Source organism: Homo sapiens, chromosome 6, assembly GCF_000001405.40.
Source record: "Homo sapiens chromosome 6, GRCh38.p14 Primary Assembly".
In the NCBI taxonomy this organism is placed as follows: domain Eukaryota; kingdom Metazoa; phylum Chordata; class Mammalia; order Primates; family Hominidae; genus Homo; species Homo sapiens.
Window position 1 is genome coordinate 154,336,134 of NC_000006.12, and position 19,596 is coordinate 154,355,729.

Below are 19,596 nucleotides of genomic sequence, written 5' to 3' on the forward strand. Positions count from 1 at the left end.
AACTACCATATGCTCCCACATTCCCACTATTAGGTACTTATCCAAAGGAAAAGAAATCAGTATATATAAGGAATACCTGTGCTTGCATGTTTATTGTAGCACTATCCACAATAGCAAAGATATGGAATCAACCTAAGTGTCCATCAATGGACAAATAGATGAAGAAAATGTGGTATATGTACACAATGGAATATCATTTGGCCATAAAAAAGAATGAAATCATGTCATTTGCAGCAATATGGATGGAACCGAAGGTAATTATGTTAAGTGAAATAAGCCAGGCACAGAAAGACAAATATCACATGTTCTCACTCACATGTGGAAGCTAAAAAAGTTGATCTCGTGGAGATAGAGAGTAGAATGATAGATACCAGTGGCTGGGAAGGGTATGTGTGTTGGGAGGATGAAGAAAGATTGGTCAATGGATACAAATATACAAACATACAGTTAGATAGGAGGAAAAGTTCTCTTTTTTTTCTTTTTTTTTGAGACCAAGGTCTCACTCTGTTACCCAGGCTGAAGTGCAGTTGCATAATCACGGCTCACTGCAGCCTCGACTGCTCAGTCTCAAGCTATCCTCCTGCCTCAGCCTCCCAGGTAACTGGGACTACAAGCATGTGCCACCATGCACAGCTAAGTTTTTAAAAATTTTTTGTTGAGACAAGGTCCCACTGTGTTGAGGCTGGTCTTGATCTCCTGGGCTCAAGTGATTCTCCCACCTCGGTCTCCCAAAGTGCTGAGACTACAGGCGTGATCAATCATGCCTGGCCTAGAAAGAATGAGTCTTATATTCAATAGCAGAGTAGAGTGACTATAGTTAATAACATTGCATTATATATTTCAAAATAGCTGTAAGAGAGGACTTGAAATGTTCCCACCACATAGAAATGATAAATACTGGAAGTGATGGAAACCTTAAGTACCCTGACTTGATCCTCACACATTCTATGCATGTAACAAAATATCATATGTAATCCATAAATATGTATAAATATTGTATATCAAGAAAAAAGAAAAAATGTGCACAAACATACTCAATAAATTATAAAACAGCCAGAGCTCAGAAGTTCTATGCGAATAGGCATTTGTAATTTAGAAGGAGATTTCCTTCTCAAAATAGAGCAAAAGCGGAAAGAAAAAGGCTAGAAAAAGACTTTTGAGAAAACAGCTTCCTACTTTCCCATTCTTTAGATATAGACACTGAGTGTGAATTTAAGAAACTTCTCTAGTCTTTCCAAGAGAAAGAGGTACCGCCTTTCCATGGAAATGTCTGAATAATAAAAAGGTTGCTAAACCTGAATCTTTGTCACACTTACTCAAAGCCCCAGACCATGCAATGACATTCAGATAAGCAAAAGAATCTCTGAGTCTCTCTTTTATACCAGGAGACAAGACACAAGTTACAGGGTAGGCAAAGAGGCCAGGCCTCAGCAGCTGAATTAGCCAATGTATGTGAGTTATTATGAAAAAAGAGGCACAGCAACGAGGAAAGAGATTTGGCCACAGTCAAATTTCCGTTATTTGTGGGGTAGAAAGGGGAGGAGGGAGGAACCAGGTTGGCTAGGAAGAAAAGTGTTAAGAAACAAAGCTATTTTCACCTAAGGGCAAATGTATGAACTCAGTGCTATATAATGTGAGAAGAAAACTAGCTCTGAGCAGTCTAAGCTTTGTGGTGTATGCAAAAGTGATCAGGCCCAGGAAGACTCGAGTAGAGGACTTCAGTGACATATCCATACCACCCTTACCCTGGGGCACTTGTTTAAAGTCACTTTGGACCATGGTTCCTGCCTGTAATCCCAGATAGTAATACGCCCATTGGGGAAACTGTGGCTCAGAAGAGTTAAGTGGCCTGTCCAAAGCCATCCTACTAGTCAATGGCTAAGCTGAGGCTTGAACTTTAGGTCCCTTATGTAAGGTTTCCCCACTCTAGAACATTCTATTGCTTGACTTTCATCAATAAGTTGTCTCTGTTGATTTATCATCTAGGTAAAGTTTGAATTCAAGTCTATTGATCTTCTGCTCCTTCATGCCTCCCAGCCTGGGTCATCACATGGGGCATGTATTCTTAGCCTTGCACTTGGGTGGGTTGGGAGAACCTTATCACTTGCCTTTGATGCCTTATAGCTAGGCTTTCTTTATAGAGTCATAGATACCAAACATACTTTAGCTAGAAGAAATTTTGACCTCATGTACTCTAACCCTGCCACTTTATGGATAGGGAACTGAGAGCCAAAGAGTTTCGGTGATTTTCCAAATGTGTCCATCTTGTTAGTGACAACTGTTCACAGCCTAGACTTTTTACTGCTAGACTCTTTATGCTGTTATATCTGGGTTAAAATGAGCATATGTTTGAAAAGAGAAGGTCTTTAAATTGTTATGAGTTACTAACACTGATGTATGAGTTAGACAGTCAGATGCTTCTAACTAAGGGTGAATTGCGATTGCCAAACTATCTGACCCATCTACCTCATAACTGTGGGCTGATAAACGTCTGATCTAGACCTCTAAATGTTAACTGCCCAATAACGAAAATCCTAGTATTTTCAGAGGCCAAGGTAGAGAATCACTCTAGAACCCAGGAGTTTGAGACTGGCCTGGGCAACATGATGAAAACTTGTCTCCAAAAAACATACAAAAAATTAGCCAGGCATGGTAAAGCACACCTGTGGTCCCAGCTACTCAGGAGGCTGAGACAGGAGGATCGCTTGAGCCCGGGAGGTGGAGGTTGCAGTGAGCTGAGACTTCAGTGAGCCAAGACTGCAACACTGCACTCCAGCCCGAGTGACACAGCAAAACCCTGCCTCTAAAAAAATAAGAAAAATAAAATCACTTTGTTCCTGCCTAGCTGCCTCACCCATTATCTTCATGCACAAAAAACAACATACAGCCCATGAATAGCTTGTTATTTCAATGTAAATTATTGGTAAACAATTTAGGAACTGCCTCTTCTTTTTTCCTTTAAAAACCCACCTGTAACTGCTGCTAATCAGGGTGTATATTCAGGGCAACTTGAATCTGTGCTCCTCGGTGGCCATTCTCAAGATTTAGGTTCAAATAAACTCTATACTTGATCATATTTTCTGAATCTCATTATTTAATTTTGACCAATATAATTACATAAAAGTGTGTTAACCCCTAAATGAGAGAGGAGAAGAGCCTAATCATTTTTTAAAAATTAAATTCAACCAAGTTCATTTGGTTCAATCAACTGTCCATGAATTCTCAAAATAGTGTAAGAACAGCAAGAGTACATTGAGTAATAATTTATTTTATTTACTTACTTTTATCTTTTTTTAATCTTTAATTTTTTTTTTTTTTTAATTTAGAGATAGCGTCTTGCTATATTGCCCAAGCTGGCCTCAAACTCCAGGCCTCAAGCATTGCTCCCGTCCAAAGTGGTGAGTGGTGGGATTACAGGCATGAGCCATTATGCCTGGCGTTTTTTGTTTGTTTGTTTGTTTGTTTGTTTGTTTTTTGAGAGGTTCTCGCTCTGTTACCCAGACTGTAGTGCAGTGGTGCAATCGCAGCTCACTGCAGTCTCAAACTCCTGGGATCAAGTGATTCTTCCACCTCAGCCTCCCCAGTAGCTGGGACTACAAGCGCACACCACCACCACATCCAGCTAATTTTAAAAAATATTTTTGTAGAGATGGGGTCTCACTATGTATAACCCAGGCTCGTCTGGAACACTTGGGCTCAAGCGAGCCACCCCCCTCACCTCCCAAAGTGCTGGGATTACAGGCATGAGCCGCCGCTCCTGGCCAAGTGATAATTTAATTTCAAGCATGTTCAAGTTGTAAATAACGTCAGTAATGGGAGTGGGGGAAACCTGCTAGCAAGAGGAAACTGAGTGGGGATCCAGAGTTAGATCAAGGCTGGAAAGATGGGTGCTCAACATATTGCAGAGTAGCAGCTGAAGATACTTGAGGCTAGGGAACTTCCCGAGTCTCTAGAGTGAACCCCGAAAATTTGAGGCGGGTCTCAGTTAATTTAGAAAGGTTATTTTGCCAAGGTTGAGGATGCGCGCCCGTGACACAGCCTTAGGAAGTCTTGACGACATGTGCCCAAGGTGGTCAGGGCACAGCTTGGTTTTATAGATTTTATTTTTTAATTTATTATTATTATTATTATTTTTGAGACGGAGTCTTGCTCTGTCGCCCAGGCTGGAGTGCAGTGGTGTGATCTCGGCTCACTGCAACCTCTGCCTCCCCGGTTCAAGCAATTCTCCCGCCCCAACCTCCCTAGTAGCTGGGATTACAGGCGTGCACCACCAATGCCCAGTTAATTTTTGTGTTTTTAGTAGAGACAGGTTTTGCCATGTTGGCCAGGCTAGTCTCAAACTCCTAAACTCAGGTGATCTGCCCACCTCAGCCCTCCCAAAGTGCTGGGATTACAGGCATGAGCCACTGCGCCCAGCCAGTTTTATACATTTTAGAGAGACATGAGACATCAATTAAAATATGTAAGAAGGGCCAGGCGCGGTGACTCACGCCTGTAATCCCAGCACTTTGGGAGGCCGAGGTGGGCGGATTACCTGAGGTTGGGAGTTCGAGATCAGCCTGATCAACATGGAGAAACCCTGTCTCTACTAAAAACACAAAATTAGCCAGGCGTGGTGGCACATACCTGTAATCCCAGCTACTCAAGAGGGTGAGGCAGGAGAATCGCTTGAACCCAGGAGGCAGAGGTTGCGGTGAGCAAAGATCATGCCATTGCACTCAGCCTGGGCAACAAGAGCAAAACTCCGTCTCAAAAAAAAAAAAAGAAATATATATATGTGTGTATATATATGTGTGTGTGTGTGTATGTACACATATTATATTTATATATCATATATACAAAGTGTATATATATGTAAGAAGTACATTGGTTAGGTCCAAAAGGCAGAACAACTTGAAGCAAAGGCAGGAAGGCTCAAAGTGGAGAGGGGGCTTCCAGGTCACAGATAGGTGAGAGACAAGCTGTTGCATTCTTCTGAGTTGCTGATCAGCCTTTCCAAAGGAGGCCATCAGATATGCATTTATCACAGTGAGCAAAGGAATAACTTTGAATAGACTGGGAGACAGGTTTGCCCTAAGCAGTTTCCAGCTTGAGTTTTCCTCTTAGCTTAGTGATTTTGGGGGCTCAAGATATTTTCCTTTCACACTAGGGACAGCAACACAGGGTGCCAAGAACTAAATCAAATAAGAGTCCATAGTTAAAAGAAAAAATTCAAGAGAGATGGAGTACAAGTCGCCAGGGTGGAAGAGGCTGAAAGCCCTTGGGGCTTGAAGCCTACAGAAGGGATCATTTGGGGATGGAGGTTATGATTGATATTGAAAGGAATGCTGAATCCAGAAAGATTAGCATGAGAAAGATCCTAGATTTGACCAAAATGGAACCTTTGAGAGGGGTCTGAATAGAGTGCAATGAACAAAACACGCAGGAAGTTTGCCAGGCTAAATCAGTTCCGGATCTTTTAATAGAGTGTGTGAATTTCCCAAGCTTCCTCCTTTTTCATCTTTCTTCCTCCTTTTGGCTCTTTTTCCTGTGTCCACTGGAAGGTTCAATGCGTAAGGAAAGATAAAACTAATTGTGAAATCTATTAAATGATTAGGGAAGAAATTACACAAACACTAAAGTTGGAATGAACCTTTACAGATTGTGTGGATGTGTTTTATCATTACCATCATTCTGAGTTGATTATATTAAACCTTAATAATTTATAATGTCTGTATGCCTTCACCTAAAAAGAAGAGTGTGATGTGTAAGCCTTGAACTGCTGCCTGAGCTTCAGCTGCTACCCACTTGGATTGATAACGTAAAGGAAAATTTAAGTATCTCAGGACTCCCAAACCCCTTATGTCAAAGAGGTTAAGCATAGAGGTTGAGTCATGCAACATCCTTTTCCAAATGAATAGCCGTTACTGGCATGCATTACCCAGACTCCCATAGAAAGGCAAAAGGCCTCAGGCGTCTCCCGAGACTGCTCCCACAGATCATTTGAAGTAAATTCTTTGCTGGCCTCCCATAAGCATGGACATGCCAATTACACTTTAGGTCTGCAGTCTAAGTCTAGCTCCTAAACCTGAAGTCTGTTTGATTCCACACCAATAACGTCATTACAAGCTTATTTTCCCAGGTACAGAACAAAGACAAGATCAATCATACCTCCACTTACCCAAAGACCTCTGCATAACTGAGTCTTCCTTTACTCCCTTTTTTAAATTTTATTATTCACCTTGTCTTATGTAAAATGTAGATTTCTGGGCATTGACTAAAGTCTCACAAGAATGTAACCATTCCTCTTACTACCTACTCACCCCTCTCCCTACATGCCTTCCCCCTTTTCAGGATGGAGAGCAGTGGCATGATCATAGCTCACTACAGCCTTGACTTTTGCGACTCAAGTGATCCTCCCACCTCAGCCTCCTGAGTAGCTGGGATCACAGGCATGCACCACCACACCTGGCAATTTTTTTCAATTTTTGTAGAAACAGTGGCAGGGTGAGGGGCTGAGGAGGGGGAGGCAGGCAAGGCTGGATTTTGCTGTTACTCAGGCTGGTCTCAAACTCCTGGTCTCAAGTGATCCTCCTGCCTCAGCCTCTGAAAGTACTAGGATTACGGGCATGAGCCACTGCGTCTAGCCTCCTTCCCCGTTTAAGGAAATGTGTAAATACTAAACCTCCTAAATATCTCTTCAGAAAAACAGCTGCAAGGCTGAGTATGGTGGCTTATGCCTGTAATCCCAGCACTTTGGGAGGCTGAGGCCAGTGGATCACCTGAGTCCAGGAGTTTAAGACCAGCCTGGGCATACGGCAAGACCCTGTCTCTACAGAAAATACACAAGAAAACTAGTAAGGCTTGGTCACATGGGCCTGTAGTCCCAGCTACTCAGGAGGCTGAGGCAGGAGGATCACTTGAGCCCAGGAGCTGAAGGCTGCAGTGAGCTGAGATACCACCACTGCACTCCAGCCTCGGCAAAAGAGCCAGACGCTATAAAAGAGAGAGAGAGATAGAGAAAACAGCCACAGGTGTGTCTGTGGCTCGAGTTTTTCCCAGAAACGCCCTAAAGCTGGCCTAATAAGCCTCAATTCATTGAGCCCTTTCCCTCAGTCACTCATTTCGGTTATCATAATATTTTCTCAAAGCCACTGCATCTTTTTGTTGAGCATTATGTCATGTGCTTCTAGGGCTACAAAAGGGAAATAAGTGAAATAAGAAGAAAAAGAAGAAATTTCCTTTTCCTCCTATTCAATTAGTGGAAAGAAGATGTTAAAAGATTTAACATCATGCTTTGCCTACAAAACTCAGGAAAGTGCCATTTTATTAGGTGCAATACAAGTGTATGAAAACTCTCCCTATCATCAAACTTCCAAAATGCTCCACTTCCCTGGGAAAGCTTTTCCTCCCCAAGTCGCCTCACTTCCCACCATTTCTCCATGTTGATCAGAGAAGTCTCAGTGGCCTCAACCTATCAACCAGCCTTCTTTCCTCCGCCAATCTGACCCAATTATGCACTCACTCTGTCTCTAAAATTACTCACATTGACCCAGGTGTGCTGTGACTGCTGTAGGTGTTGTTGAGAAATTATTTTAGGCAGATAGAGAGGAAAAGAGGTCCTTGGAAAGTTTTCGTCCCTTTTAAAGCAGCTCCAGAAACGTTTCTTGTCTAACAGGAAAGCCCGGCTCTTAGAACTGGGCTGGCAACCTTTGATATGCAAATGCAGGCCATTAGAAACTGGGTCCACCCAACATGGAGATTCCCACATGTCCTCTTGCCCTTGCCCCGTGGTGTGCCTGGCAGCATGGCCGACCTCACATATCCCCACGTGTGTAGAACATCAAGGCGCCCTGCATTTGCATATTAAAAGACTAAGGTGGGAGGGCCAGTTTTTGTGCAGGCTACGTGAATGACATGCCTAGTCAAACCAATCCCCTGAGCCCTATGCAAATCAGACACCTCCTCCTCTAGCCTCCTCATAAAACTGGCTGGTATCCACCACACTCCGAGTCTCCTCTCTCAGTTTTGGAGCACCTCTCCCTCTGTCTGTGTACAGGGGAACTGCTTCTTTCTTTCTTCTCCCTTTTCTCTTGCCTATTAAATCATCTGCTCCTTAAAACCACTCCACGTGTGTCCGTGTCGTTTTATCTAATTCACATGAGTCAAGATCCCTGGTGTTCCTCCACTCGTCGGAGCCATATCATGACTACTTCACTGTCCTTTCATGTCCTGGTTTTGTGCTTTTCTTCCATCTGTATATCCAGTAAATCATTATCACCAAAGATACTTACATCCTGTTTTTCAACTGAAAAATCTCATTCACACACATTATCTTATAGAAACCCCAGTGACTTTGGGGCATGTAAAGATATGAGGCTCCCCGTTTCACAAATGGAGAAACTAAGACATGAAGAAAACAACCCCATGTTCACAGGTTTAGCAACTGGCAGCATAAAGATCTTCCCTCCTGTGGTCCAGGATTCTTCCCGGTATAGGAGTGCTCAATATGCCGGAGCACGAATACCAACTACCATCACAGATGGCGCCAGGGGAGAGCTCTGAGCCTGCATTTTCCTACTGACTTTCATGGTCATCCCTCTCTTCTCCCCCAACCTGAAACTTTGCCCTTTTTTTCTCAACAGAACAGAAGTTATTATTCAACTTTTTTCTCCACCATTACAGGCTCCTGGATCATGCTCTCTCTAACTTTTAGCATACTTATTCTCTACACTGTTTACCATGACAATCACATGTCACTTTGGGTCTTTTGTTGTTGTTGTTCTTTTTGGAGATAGGGTTTCACTCTGTCACCCAGGTTGGTGTGCAGTGGCACAATCTCCTCTTCCTGGGTTCAAGGGATCCTCCATCCTCAGCCTCCCATGTAGCTGGGACCACAAGTGCACGCCATCACACCCAGCTAATTTTAATACATTTTGTAGAGACAGGGTTTCAACATGTTGCCCAGGCTGGTCTCAAACTCCTGACCACAGGTGATCCACCCGCCTTGGCCTCCCAAAGTGCTGGGATTACAGGCATGAGCCACCGTATCCAGTCGGTTCTTTTGTTTAATGTTTCATGTGTGTGTTTTGTTGTCACTGTAAATTAGTAAGATATTTGTAGTAACTATTATTTTCTAATACTTATTTTATATTCTTCACAATGCCTAATACAGAGAAAATTTACACAAATATTTGCTGAATAGGGATGAATGTCTCAGGGGACTGAACAGAAATTCTAGGCTTAAGACATTATCTTTCTTACAGTCAGAAAACTCAGAAATTTTGTGTGTGTGATGATATTGACAAGCTTAAAATCACATGGCGATCAGAGCCCTACTAGTCTCCAGGACCACGAAGCACCAATATAAGATCGCAAAAAAATACAAGCCAATTAAGAATAATCCACTTTCCAAAAGAGAGCTGCTGCCACCTGCTATGACACCTCCCAAACCATGCCTCAACCACTTTTTGTTCTTTCATTAACTTCTGCTTTCTTTTGTTTTACGTGACTGCTCATCATTTTTTGGTTGAAAACGTGTTAGATTTGTCAATTCTTCACAGTATTTAATAATTCTGAATATCTGAGCTTTCCTATGGTCAGTTATCATAAAGAAAGAAATCTCTTCACTTATCCATTCAAAAACTTTGGTTACTGTACCCCATATGGTAAATTATTATATCTAAAATATATAATGTGTTAGGAATATGGTTTTAATATATTAAAATACACTTTTATCTCATTTTTTTTGTAAACACACACTTTTTTTGTGAGATGGGGTCTCACTCTGTCACCCAGGTTAGAGTGTAGTGGTGCTATCTCGGCTCACTGCAAACTCCACCTCCCAGGCTCAAGCAATCTTCCCGCTTCAGCCTCCCAAGTAGCTGAAACCACAGGCATGTGCCACCGCGCCTGGCTAATTTTTTGTATACTTTTTGGTAAAGACAGGGTTTCACCATGTTTCCCAGGCTGGTGTCAAACTCCTGAGCTCATGCCCTCTGCCCACCTCAGTGTCCCAAAGTGCTAGGATTACAGCTGTGAGCCACTGCACCTGGCCTCACATGTACATTATTAAAAAGCAAAAACATTGAAGATTTTACATCAAAATGTTAACTATAATTATTTCAAGGTTATAGGATCATGAAAAGTATTTATCTTCTCCTTGCTTATCTGTATCATTGGCAATAAAATGCATTCTATATGTACTAAGGAAAAATAATTATTTTAAAAAATTTAAGCTCTAGATATCAAGAAAGTTGATAACACATTTTACTATGAGGTTGAATTCAAAGTGTTTGCCTAAAGAGATTATTTCTTCCCTCCTTTTTTCTAAATTGGCATATACTAATCTTTTCTTTCATTCAAGAACTTTTTCTGGTTGTATAATAATTAGAAAGAATGGATGGACTATCTGTATTAGTCCATTCTTATGCTGCTATGAAGAAATACCTGAGACTCGGTAATTTATAAAGGAAAGAGGTTTAATTGACTCACAGTTCTCTGCATGGCCAGGGAGGCCTCAAGAAACTTACAGTCATGGTGGAACGGGAAGCAAACATGTCCTTCTTCACATGGCAGCATGAGAGAGAAGTGCAGAGCAAAGCAAGGTAAAGCCTCTTATAAAACCATCAGATCTTGTGAGAACTCACTCACTATCATGAGAACAACATGAGGAACAGCCCCCATGGTCTAATCACCTCCCACAAGTTTCCTCCCCCAACACGTGGGGATTACAATTTGGATTACAGTTCAACGTAAGATTTGGGTGGCCAGACTCTATCCCTATCCAAGCATATCCTCTCAAAACTCTGCCTTCCTATTTTTTAATCTCTGTTTTCTTCCCCTTTTCAATCTATATTATTAGAAACAAATGCTCCATCACCCTCAACCCCAATTCTCCTCAGCTTTGATCTGGAAGTGTCTTTGGGAATGAGATTTTCCTCAAGGCTCAGGCAAATCTGGGCTGAGCACTCCTAAAATCATTATTCACCCAAACAGGCTTCCTCTGGCCTCTCTGGGGTTGGATTATACACATTCTCAGCTCCAGGAATGGAAAGGTGGACAAGCACAAAGCAACCTTATCCAAAAATAAGAAATTATGTAGCATCCTTTTCCTTATATTATAGTATATTCCCTCAGGACAGCTATATACTGGACGCTCAGGTCAAATAAGCCTAGGCTCAAATTCTGACCCCAGAGTCAAACTGCTGGGGTTGGAACCCTGACTGTACTATTTCTGGGTGACCTTGAGCCAGGTTTGAAGTTCCCTGAACCTGTGTTTTCTCATCAGAGAAAGGGAACTAGTTAATAATAACAGCACTTCCTAGAGCTATTTGATTAAAAAATTAGATAATGAATGTAAAGCCTTTAACACCGTCCCTTGCAGACAGCAAGAGGACAGTACATGTTACCTCCATGTGCCACACAGCCAGTGGGGCTGGGGAAGCCCTGCATGGCCTGTTGGAAAAGCTGCAATTATCAGGTTGGTGCAAAAGTAGTTGCAGGTTTTGCCATTAAAGACTACTTTTTCACCAGCCTATAGAAAGAAGGGGTCCTCTTGGACTCTATTTTCTGCCTTGCTCTAAGGCTCACCTCAGTGGCTCCTACTGCCCAGAAAGTTCCAGGCATTGCCTAGAATATTTCATAGGCCAGGAGCATCCATCCATTGGCAAAAGGCCACCTCCACAATGATAGGAAACGTGAGCTCGTGGGGAGTGGACAGTGGTTTGGTGCTCAATGCCTGAAGTCCATTGAGATTGACAGAGGGATCGCTTGCTAACTTGCTCCCAATGCACAGAACACAAAGAGGATGCAATGCCCGGTGGAAATTACTACACCCCATGTCTAGGACCCTGTGACTACAGCTAATGCCAACTTGAAAGCAAAGTCACTTCAAGGCAATCAGGAGTCGCTGAGCCTTCATTGCTCAGCCCACTTACTGTGTTTTGGTGACTCGGTGTCTCTCTCCCCGTGCTGGCTTCTCAGCTCAGAATATCTGGGACTCCAGCGTTCCTCTCAAGGCAACTAATTTGTACATAACTTTGGAATGTTTGTGAGTGTTCACAAAATAAAACTGAATAGTACTCGAGTGCCTGGCTCAAACCTTGCTCCACAGTCCCTCCCTCAAGTCCCCATTACCTACGCAAAAGCTGCTCTAGTTGATTAATCAAGTTGAAAATCCAAGTGTGGAAAACTCTGGTAGCTGTGTTCCAGAGTAAAATCCAGCTCTAGCTGGAAAACTGTGAGTGTATTTGACCAAGAGAGTTCAAGTTCAGGCACTTCTCTTTGATAGACTGGCTATAACTGAGTCTAACCAAGAGGCAATACTAATTCACACGATTCCAGGGGAATTTCAAAGGTGATCTTGTCCATTTAATTGCAGTGAAATACCTGGCACATTACGTGGAAAATATTAGGTACTCAATAAGTATTTGGTGAAGGTTGAATATTCGTAAGTGGGTCCTTATCATATTATATGGTCAGCATTCACAACCACTAGTAAGAACAACTGCTTGACTATTTTTTGTCAGGATGGAAAAAGAGGTTGGGATTTGTGCCTTAACAAGGAACCAGAAAATAAGGTCTTTAATATCATTTGCTTCAGGCTTTTAATCGGTGGAAAGAACAAAGTTGTTACAAATGACTTGCACTCCCAGCGAATAAACAGCAACGTTCCTGCAACAACCATTTAATCTATTAGAATAGTAGAATCTTCAAACATGTTCAAGAAATGGATGAGATTATATATATTCTCATCAGTCCATAAAACTATTACAGATTTATCCAATAGTGTGCTGTAGTCTGAGCTATTCAAACAGAATAATCATAAACAAGTAGCCTAAAATGCATGGTTTTCATGTTTACAGCCGTTTGCTTAGTTTTTCAAATAATTAAAGGTTTTCTCCTTCAAACATAACTTTGTATAAAGTACAGCTTATCTCTGGATAAACTGTGACACTTTACAAAGAATTATATTCTTTAGGAGTGAATAATGTTAAATTAAGGTTCCTGGGAAATGTTTTGAGTTGGTTTCATCTTTTTTCCTTTCTCAGAGGTTTGTATTATTTTATCTTATTATTATTATTATTATTATTATTGAGACAGGGTCACTCTCAGTCACCCTGGAATGAATGCAGTGGTGCGATCATTGCCTACTGCAACCTCAATCTCCCAGGCTCAAGTGATCCTCCTGCCTCCATCTCCTGAGTAGCTGAGACTACAGGCATGCTCTACCACACTTAACTAATTTTATTTTATTTTATTTTATTTTATTTTATTTATTTATTTATTTTAGTACAGACGAGGTCTTGCTATACGTTGCTTGGGCTGTTCTCAAACTCCTGAGCTCAAGTGATCTTTCCACCTCAGCCTCCCAAAGTGCTGGGTCAAATTCCTGATTTCAAGTGATCCTCACACCTCAGACTCCCAAAGTGCTGGGATTATAGGCATGAGCCACTGTGCCTGGCCTATTTTCCTGTTTTAGACTAAGGTTCAGTCTCTATTAATATATGTACATTTGCCTATAAGTAGTTAAATGTTCTATTCCTCTCTGGCGTTACAGATCAGTGCATAAAACTCTGAAGAATGCAGTTTCCTTCACAATAGTCAGGAAAAAAAGAACTTCTACCCTGTCCAAATTTGAAAAAATCTATCCAGTCACAGATTTCTACTGCATAGTTAGAAAAAGATTATATAAAATTAACAAGTCTAAAGAAAATTAAATATGGATCAATTAAGAGGAGGAGAAAAAAGATATTTTTAGTTTTACATAGATTAAATGTATTAGCTTCCTATAATGATATTTACCTGTTAAAAGAATGTTGTTCTGCTGGGGATAATCATGTAATAGGAATTAGGGTAATTCAAATTCTGCTGAAAAGGGGATTTAAGAGATTCTTATGTCACAGGGAAACTCAAGAATATGCTTGAAATCCTGGCTATTTATGCTGTCATTAAAGTACTTATGCAGGTACCAGCCTAAATTTATGGATCAAAGTGATCAACGATTACAGATGAACCACTAAAATGATCTAACATCCATTTATTGAGAAGTTTCCACTTGCTGTACACTTAAATTGCAGCCTTAGATTTTATATTTGGATCAAAGTTCCATCACATTGCATCATTTTCAGAATATTTGAACTTTTATTTCAATACAAACTGAGGTAAATAAATATCCCCCCCAAATAGACGCTGATGTTCCATATCTAACAAGTAACCAAATTGTCATGATAATCTGGGATCACTATCTAGACTCCATTTATGAAAGAAAATCTTTTATAGATTTCACAATAGCCTGATTTTCATTTTGTAAATGTGTCTCATTGTTGAGAGTGTCTTTATTCACTCCCATTCAATGATGAAGTGACTCTACTGTTTGAGGCCCAATGCCACAAGTTAACTTCATAGAAATGAGTCACGTCCAATTTGGCCCCTAGAAGTGCTTGCCAGCAATACAGATGGGCTTATTACTAGCACATAAAATTACTTTCATTCTTTACCTCCTGTATTAGCTTCCAAGAAGGGCTCCATTGGTTTATAATATTTTTGTTTTCTTCTAAGTATATACGCTTACTTTCATTTGGCCCATACATCAACGCAATTGGTTAGTTTTTTTATTTTTTCAGAGACAGAGTCTTACTCTGCTGCCCAGGCTGTACACCAGTGGCACAATCATAGCTCACTGCAGCTTCAAACTCCTATGCTCAAGAGATCCTTCTGCCTCAGCCTCCTGAGTAGCTGGGATTACAGGCACACATCACCACACCTGGCCACATTTTTTTGTTTTTGTAGAGATGGGATCTTGCTTTATTGCCCAGTGGGTCTTCAACTCCTGGCATCAAGCGATCCTCCCAACTCCGCTTCCCAAAGTGCTAGGATTACAGGCATCAACCACCCCACCTGGCCTGGTTTGGTATTTTTATCTCAGCTTTTATAGATGAGACAACTCAAGCGTGGAGAAGTTAAATGCTTGCTTGTAGCGCAAAACTATCATATACTACAGGCAGGACACTCAAGTCTCCTAGCCTTTTGATCTGCGGTGTTCCCGCTAAAAAATTGAGCCTAATAGAAGGCCCCATCAATATGGGTCCAATGATACTCAAAATGGAAATTGAATATTTTAAAATTAGATTGGGTATTGTTATGAAAGAGCAGCATGAGGGATCTTTGTGGTGACGGAACAGTCACATATCTTGACTGTGGTTGTGAACTACCCAGGAATGGTTCTGAGGTCCCCCCAGTCCCCTTTTGTTCCCTGCTGGCTGGAAGCATTTCCTACGTGGTACCACCTGACTGCCTAAGAAGACAATCACGGATGTGCAATCATGTCAAGGCACAGGCAGTTTCCTGGAAAAAAGAACAACTCCTTTCCACTATCTCTTCACTAAGGAATAGAAAAGAATTTCACTTGGGCGATTTTAAAGTAGAGAGCAAATCTGCTCTGCTCAGACTCGCCCTTGGTGTCAAATCACTATTTATATAACAAAACCTTTAACATAAATGAAAACAATGTAATGTGTAGAATGGTAGACCACAGGCTCAGAGACACAAAGGTCTGGGTTTGAATCCCTCTCCCCTGCCTATTGTGGTGGTTTGAGGCAGGGGACTTTACCTCTCTAAGCTTCAATTTCATGGAGATAACAATAGTACTATTTCCCAGAACTGTTTTAAGAAGTGGCTTAAATAGCATAAAAAGGAACAAGATCATGTCCTTTGCAGGGACATGGATGGAGCTGGAAGCCATTATCCTCAGCAAACTAACGCAGGAACAAGAAACCAAATACCGCATGTTCTCACTTACAAGTGGGAGCTGAACAATGAGAACACATGGACATAGGGAGCGGAAAAACACACACTGAGGCCTGTGAGGGCCGGGGGAGAGGGAGAGCATCAGGAAGAATAAGCTAATGGATGCTGGGCTTCACACCTAGGTGATGAGTTGATCTATGCAGCAAACCACCATGGCACACATTTACCTATGTAACAAACCTGCATATCCTGCACATGCACACTGGAACGTAAAGTAAAAGTTGAAGAAAAAAAAAAAGAAATTGTAAATGTAACTAAATGTAAATGTAAACTAAAAGGTAAAAATAAAAGTGCAGATCACAGTGTCTAGAACCTAGCAAGTGCTCAGTAATATCATTGGTTTTTTATTCAGCATTCCACGTATGAAATATTCAGAAAATGCTATAGAATCTGTTGGGAATCCTATCTTGCTGCTGTTTCTATTTCAATGCTTAGTGCATGCTGGGTTTTTGTTTCTTCAATTAATTCTTTCATTTCTAACTTGACTTAGTTTTCCTTGACGATCTGGTCATTTTTTTATTCAGACTTCTTTTGAAAGACTCATCCACATTCTAGTAACTTTGGGCTGAGTTTAAGCTGGCTCACTTTTCACCTTTCAGCTGCTTCTATGTCAATCCCTGTGTCAGTCTGGGAGACCTGTCTTTGCTCACATTTGTTCAGCCCTTTGCCTTTTTGTCTGCCGACTATCTCTCCTTTCTAAGACAAAGATTGATTCTAAGACAAAGACAGAAGATTCTTTTCAATGCCTACAAGCCAAAATATTTTATTTTGGTTACGTCCCTGATAAGGGACTCCATGGTGACCTGCTGGCCCTGTGAGACGGCAGGGCCAAGATTCTAACAACAGGAATGATAATTCTTGAATCTATAAAATAATCTGTGACTCTATAGAAATGTTTTTATGACCTCTCCCTATGAGTACCAAGATGATAAACATATGGCAACATTCCCTAAGAAATGTATTAACAATTATATTGGGAGATTTAAATTTAACTTATAATTAATAACTGACAAATTGACTATTGCATTTTTTAGGAAATCATCAAACTCAGGTTTAGACGCAGTTATAAGTCATCCAGAGAAAATAACCCATTTTCATGTCATTCTAGGAATTAATCAGACCAGCCAGCCCCAGTGGGACCACGTTTCCTTTTTCTCACTTCAGAGTTGACACATGATTCTGCACCAGCCTTACTCTCAAAGGGGATTTCCCTACAAAGACTAAATAACATAAATTTTAAGTGTCATTTCTTAGACTGCAATGAACCATGAACTTCAGCACACTATCACTAAAACATTGCTTTTGTCGTCCTGTTGGTGGAAGATTTAAGGAGGGTTACATTTTTGTCCATTTCTTTTCTTTTCCTTTTCCTTTTTTTTTTTTTTTTTTTTGAGATGAAGTCTCCCTCATTGCCCAGGCTGGAGTGCAGCTGCGTGATCTCGGCTCACTGCGCCTCCCGGATTCAAGTGGTTCTTGTGCCTCAGCCTCTTGAGTAGCTGGGATTACGTGCGCCCGCACCATGCCCAGCTAATTTTTGTATTTTTGGTAGAAACAGGGTTTCGCCATGTTGGCCAGAGTGGTTTGGAACTCCTGACCTCAGGTGATCCGCCCGCCTTGGCCTCCCAAAGTCCTGGGATTACAGGCATGAGAGCCACCGCACCCGGGCCTATTTACTTTCTTTCAACGTTTGTTTTATTTTCAGATTATTAAAATAGTTCAGGTATGTTCCACTAATGAAAAATCTGGGAAGAAAATAGAGTACAAAGTACAAAGAAAGAAGAACCACGAGCTATAAGCCCACTACTCATATATTAACATTTTAATGCATTTCACCCAAATCTTGCTTCTCTGCAGTATTTTTACATAGTTGAAAAAGTTATGTTCCTCCTTTTTGGACTTAGCATTACATCATGAGACTATTTCCATAAATATCATTTTCTTGATGACATTTCTTTATATACCACCATGTGTTCAACCATTCTGATAACTAGGCTTATCATATTTATTTTAAATTAATGATTCTTTTAAAAACTCACTTTCACTTTACAAAATTCAGAAAATGCACAAAGCATAAAGAAAAAAAGAGAAATTAGAGATTAAATTTTTAAGCGTGGCTCTGGCAACTTGAAAACTGATATCGATAACTGCCATTTAATGCAATCATATTTTTAACCCTCACACAACAACCCAAAAAGTCAATATGTTATAGTCACCACTTTATAGGTTCGGAGGTCACAGAGCTGGTAGGTTCAGAGATATAGATTTTGAACAGATATGTCTGAGCCCCCAACTGTGTTTTCTCTTGGCTAAATTATACTGACCTTCCCATGATTACCTCCACCATTACCTCTACTACCATCACCTCCAACCACCATCTCCGCCATCTGTACCATCACCTCTACCATCACTTCCTCAACCATCTCCACCATGTCTACCATCACTTCTACCATCTGTCACCTCCACCGTCACCTCCAACCACCATCTCCACCACCACCTCCACCACCACCTCCACCATCTCCTCCACCACCACCTCCACCATCTCCTCCACAACCACCTCCACCATCTCTACCGTCACTTCCACCATCACCTCTACCACTCCAATCACCATTTCTACCATCTCCATTACCACCTCCACCATCGCCTCCACAACCACCTCTACCATCTCCACCGTCACTTCCACCATCACCTCCCCTACGACCACCACTTCCAACACCACCCCCTTTATCTCCACCTCCACCTCCACCACCATGTATCGCCAACCCTTTCACTTTACTGACCTGGGGATTTTTCTGATCCCCGTTCTACACACCCTTTCTTTACTCCACACCTTCATATTCTCCTCTCCTCCTCCACTCTGATCTTTTCTAACATTCACTTTTTAAAGTGCCTGAGTAACAGAGATAAAGCAATGGCTTTCCTACCACATTCATTTTATGAATTATGCCAGTTATTCATTCATTCAACAAATATTTACTGAGAGCAGGCACTGTTCTGAGCACTTGGGAGCACAAGTAACTCCTCCATTTGCAGGATTCTCTTTAAGGCTAAAAAGCTTATTTTTTAGGATTTTTCTTCACACACACACACACACACACACACACACACACACACACACACACACACCATTTGCCACATTAGACCTACTTGCAAATTGTTAACCTGTACTGCAATTATCAGCTCACACTGCAGAGCCTCCAAGCTGGATGGAAAGCAGAAGTGAGCTGTTCAAAAGGATGCACGAGTCAAAAGGAAAGTCTCAGGCAATAGTGATGAAGTAATTTCTTATCTCTTATTGCCACAGCAAACTACCGCAGGAAAGAACTTCCTATTTCCATACTCTGATGATGTATATTTGCTTAACACAGCTTGCCTGAAATAGTTCATACATGGACCCACTCCAGAAAAGACACTTGATTTATAAAAAGAGGAATGGAAGGAAATTATAAGGTAAATTAAAGAATGAGTTCATCAACACATACACAAACTTACACCCTTTTCTTCCTTGCTTGCATGATGTGAGCAGAAAGAAATGTGTGTTCTTTCCATTTCTGTTTCTTTTCTTTCTTTCTTTCTTTTTTTTTTTTGAGATGAACTCTTGCTCTGTCACCCAGGCTGAAGTGCAGTGGCGCAATCTCAGCTCACTGCAACCTCCGCTTCCCGGGTTCAAGCAATTCTCCTGCCTCAGCTTCCCAGGTAGCTGGGATTACAGGTGCATGCTCCCACGCCCAGTTAATTTTTGTATTTTTAGTAGAGACGGGGTTTCATCATGTTGGCCAGGCTGGTCTCGAACTCCTGACCTCAGATGAT

General features: G+C 41.3%; 1 protein-coding gene across 6 annotated transcripts in view, besides 1 other annotated feature; it reads right to left on the reverse strand.

Moving 5' to 3' along the window:
- The window catches only part of IPCEF1 (interaction protein for cytohesin exchange factors 1), a 202,308-nt gene that overhangs the window by 181,638 nt on the left and 1,074 nt on the right, over positions 1 to 19,596 (reverse strand). For 3 of the 6 annotated variants that reach the window (NM_001394802.1, NM_001394800.1, NM_001394801.1), the window contains exon 1: positions 18,934 to 19,007. The exons of the other annotated variants lie outside the window; for them this stretch is intronic. The gene's annotated coding sequence lies outside the window, so the exon portion shown is untranslated. Of the gene's footprint in view, positions 1 to 18,933; positions 19,008 to 19,596 lie in introns of those variants that run through there. 6 annotated transcript variants of the gene reach the window in all.
- Positions 6,167 to 7,099: an enhancer, noted in NCBI's record as "H3K27ac hESC enhancer chr6:154663434-154664366 (GRCh37/hg19 assembly coordinates)". NCBI's record gives its function as "activates a minimal SCP1, AML or CMV promoter by ChIP-STARR-seq in primed H9 embryonic stem cells {active_cell/tissue: H9 hESC(primed)}" and the evidence as "EXISTENCE:reporter gene assay evidence [ECO:0000049][PMID:30033119]".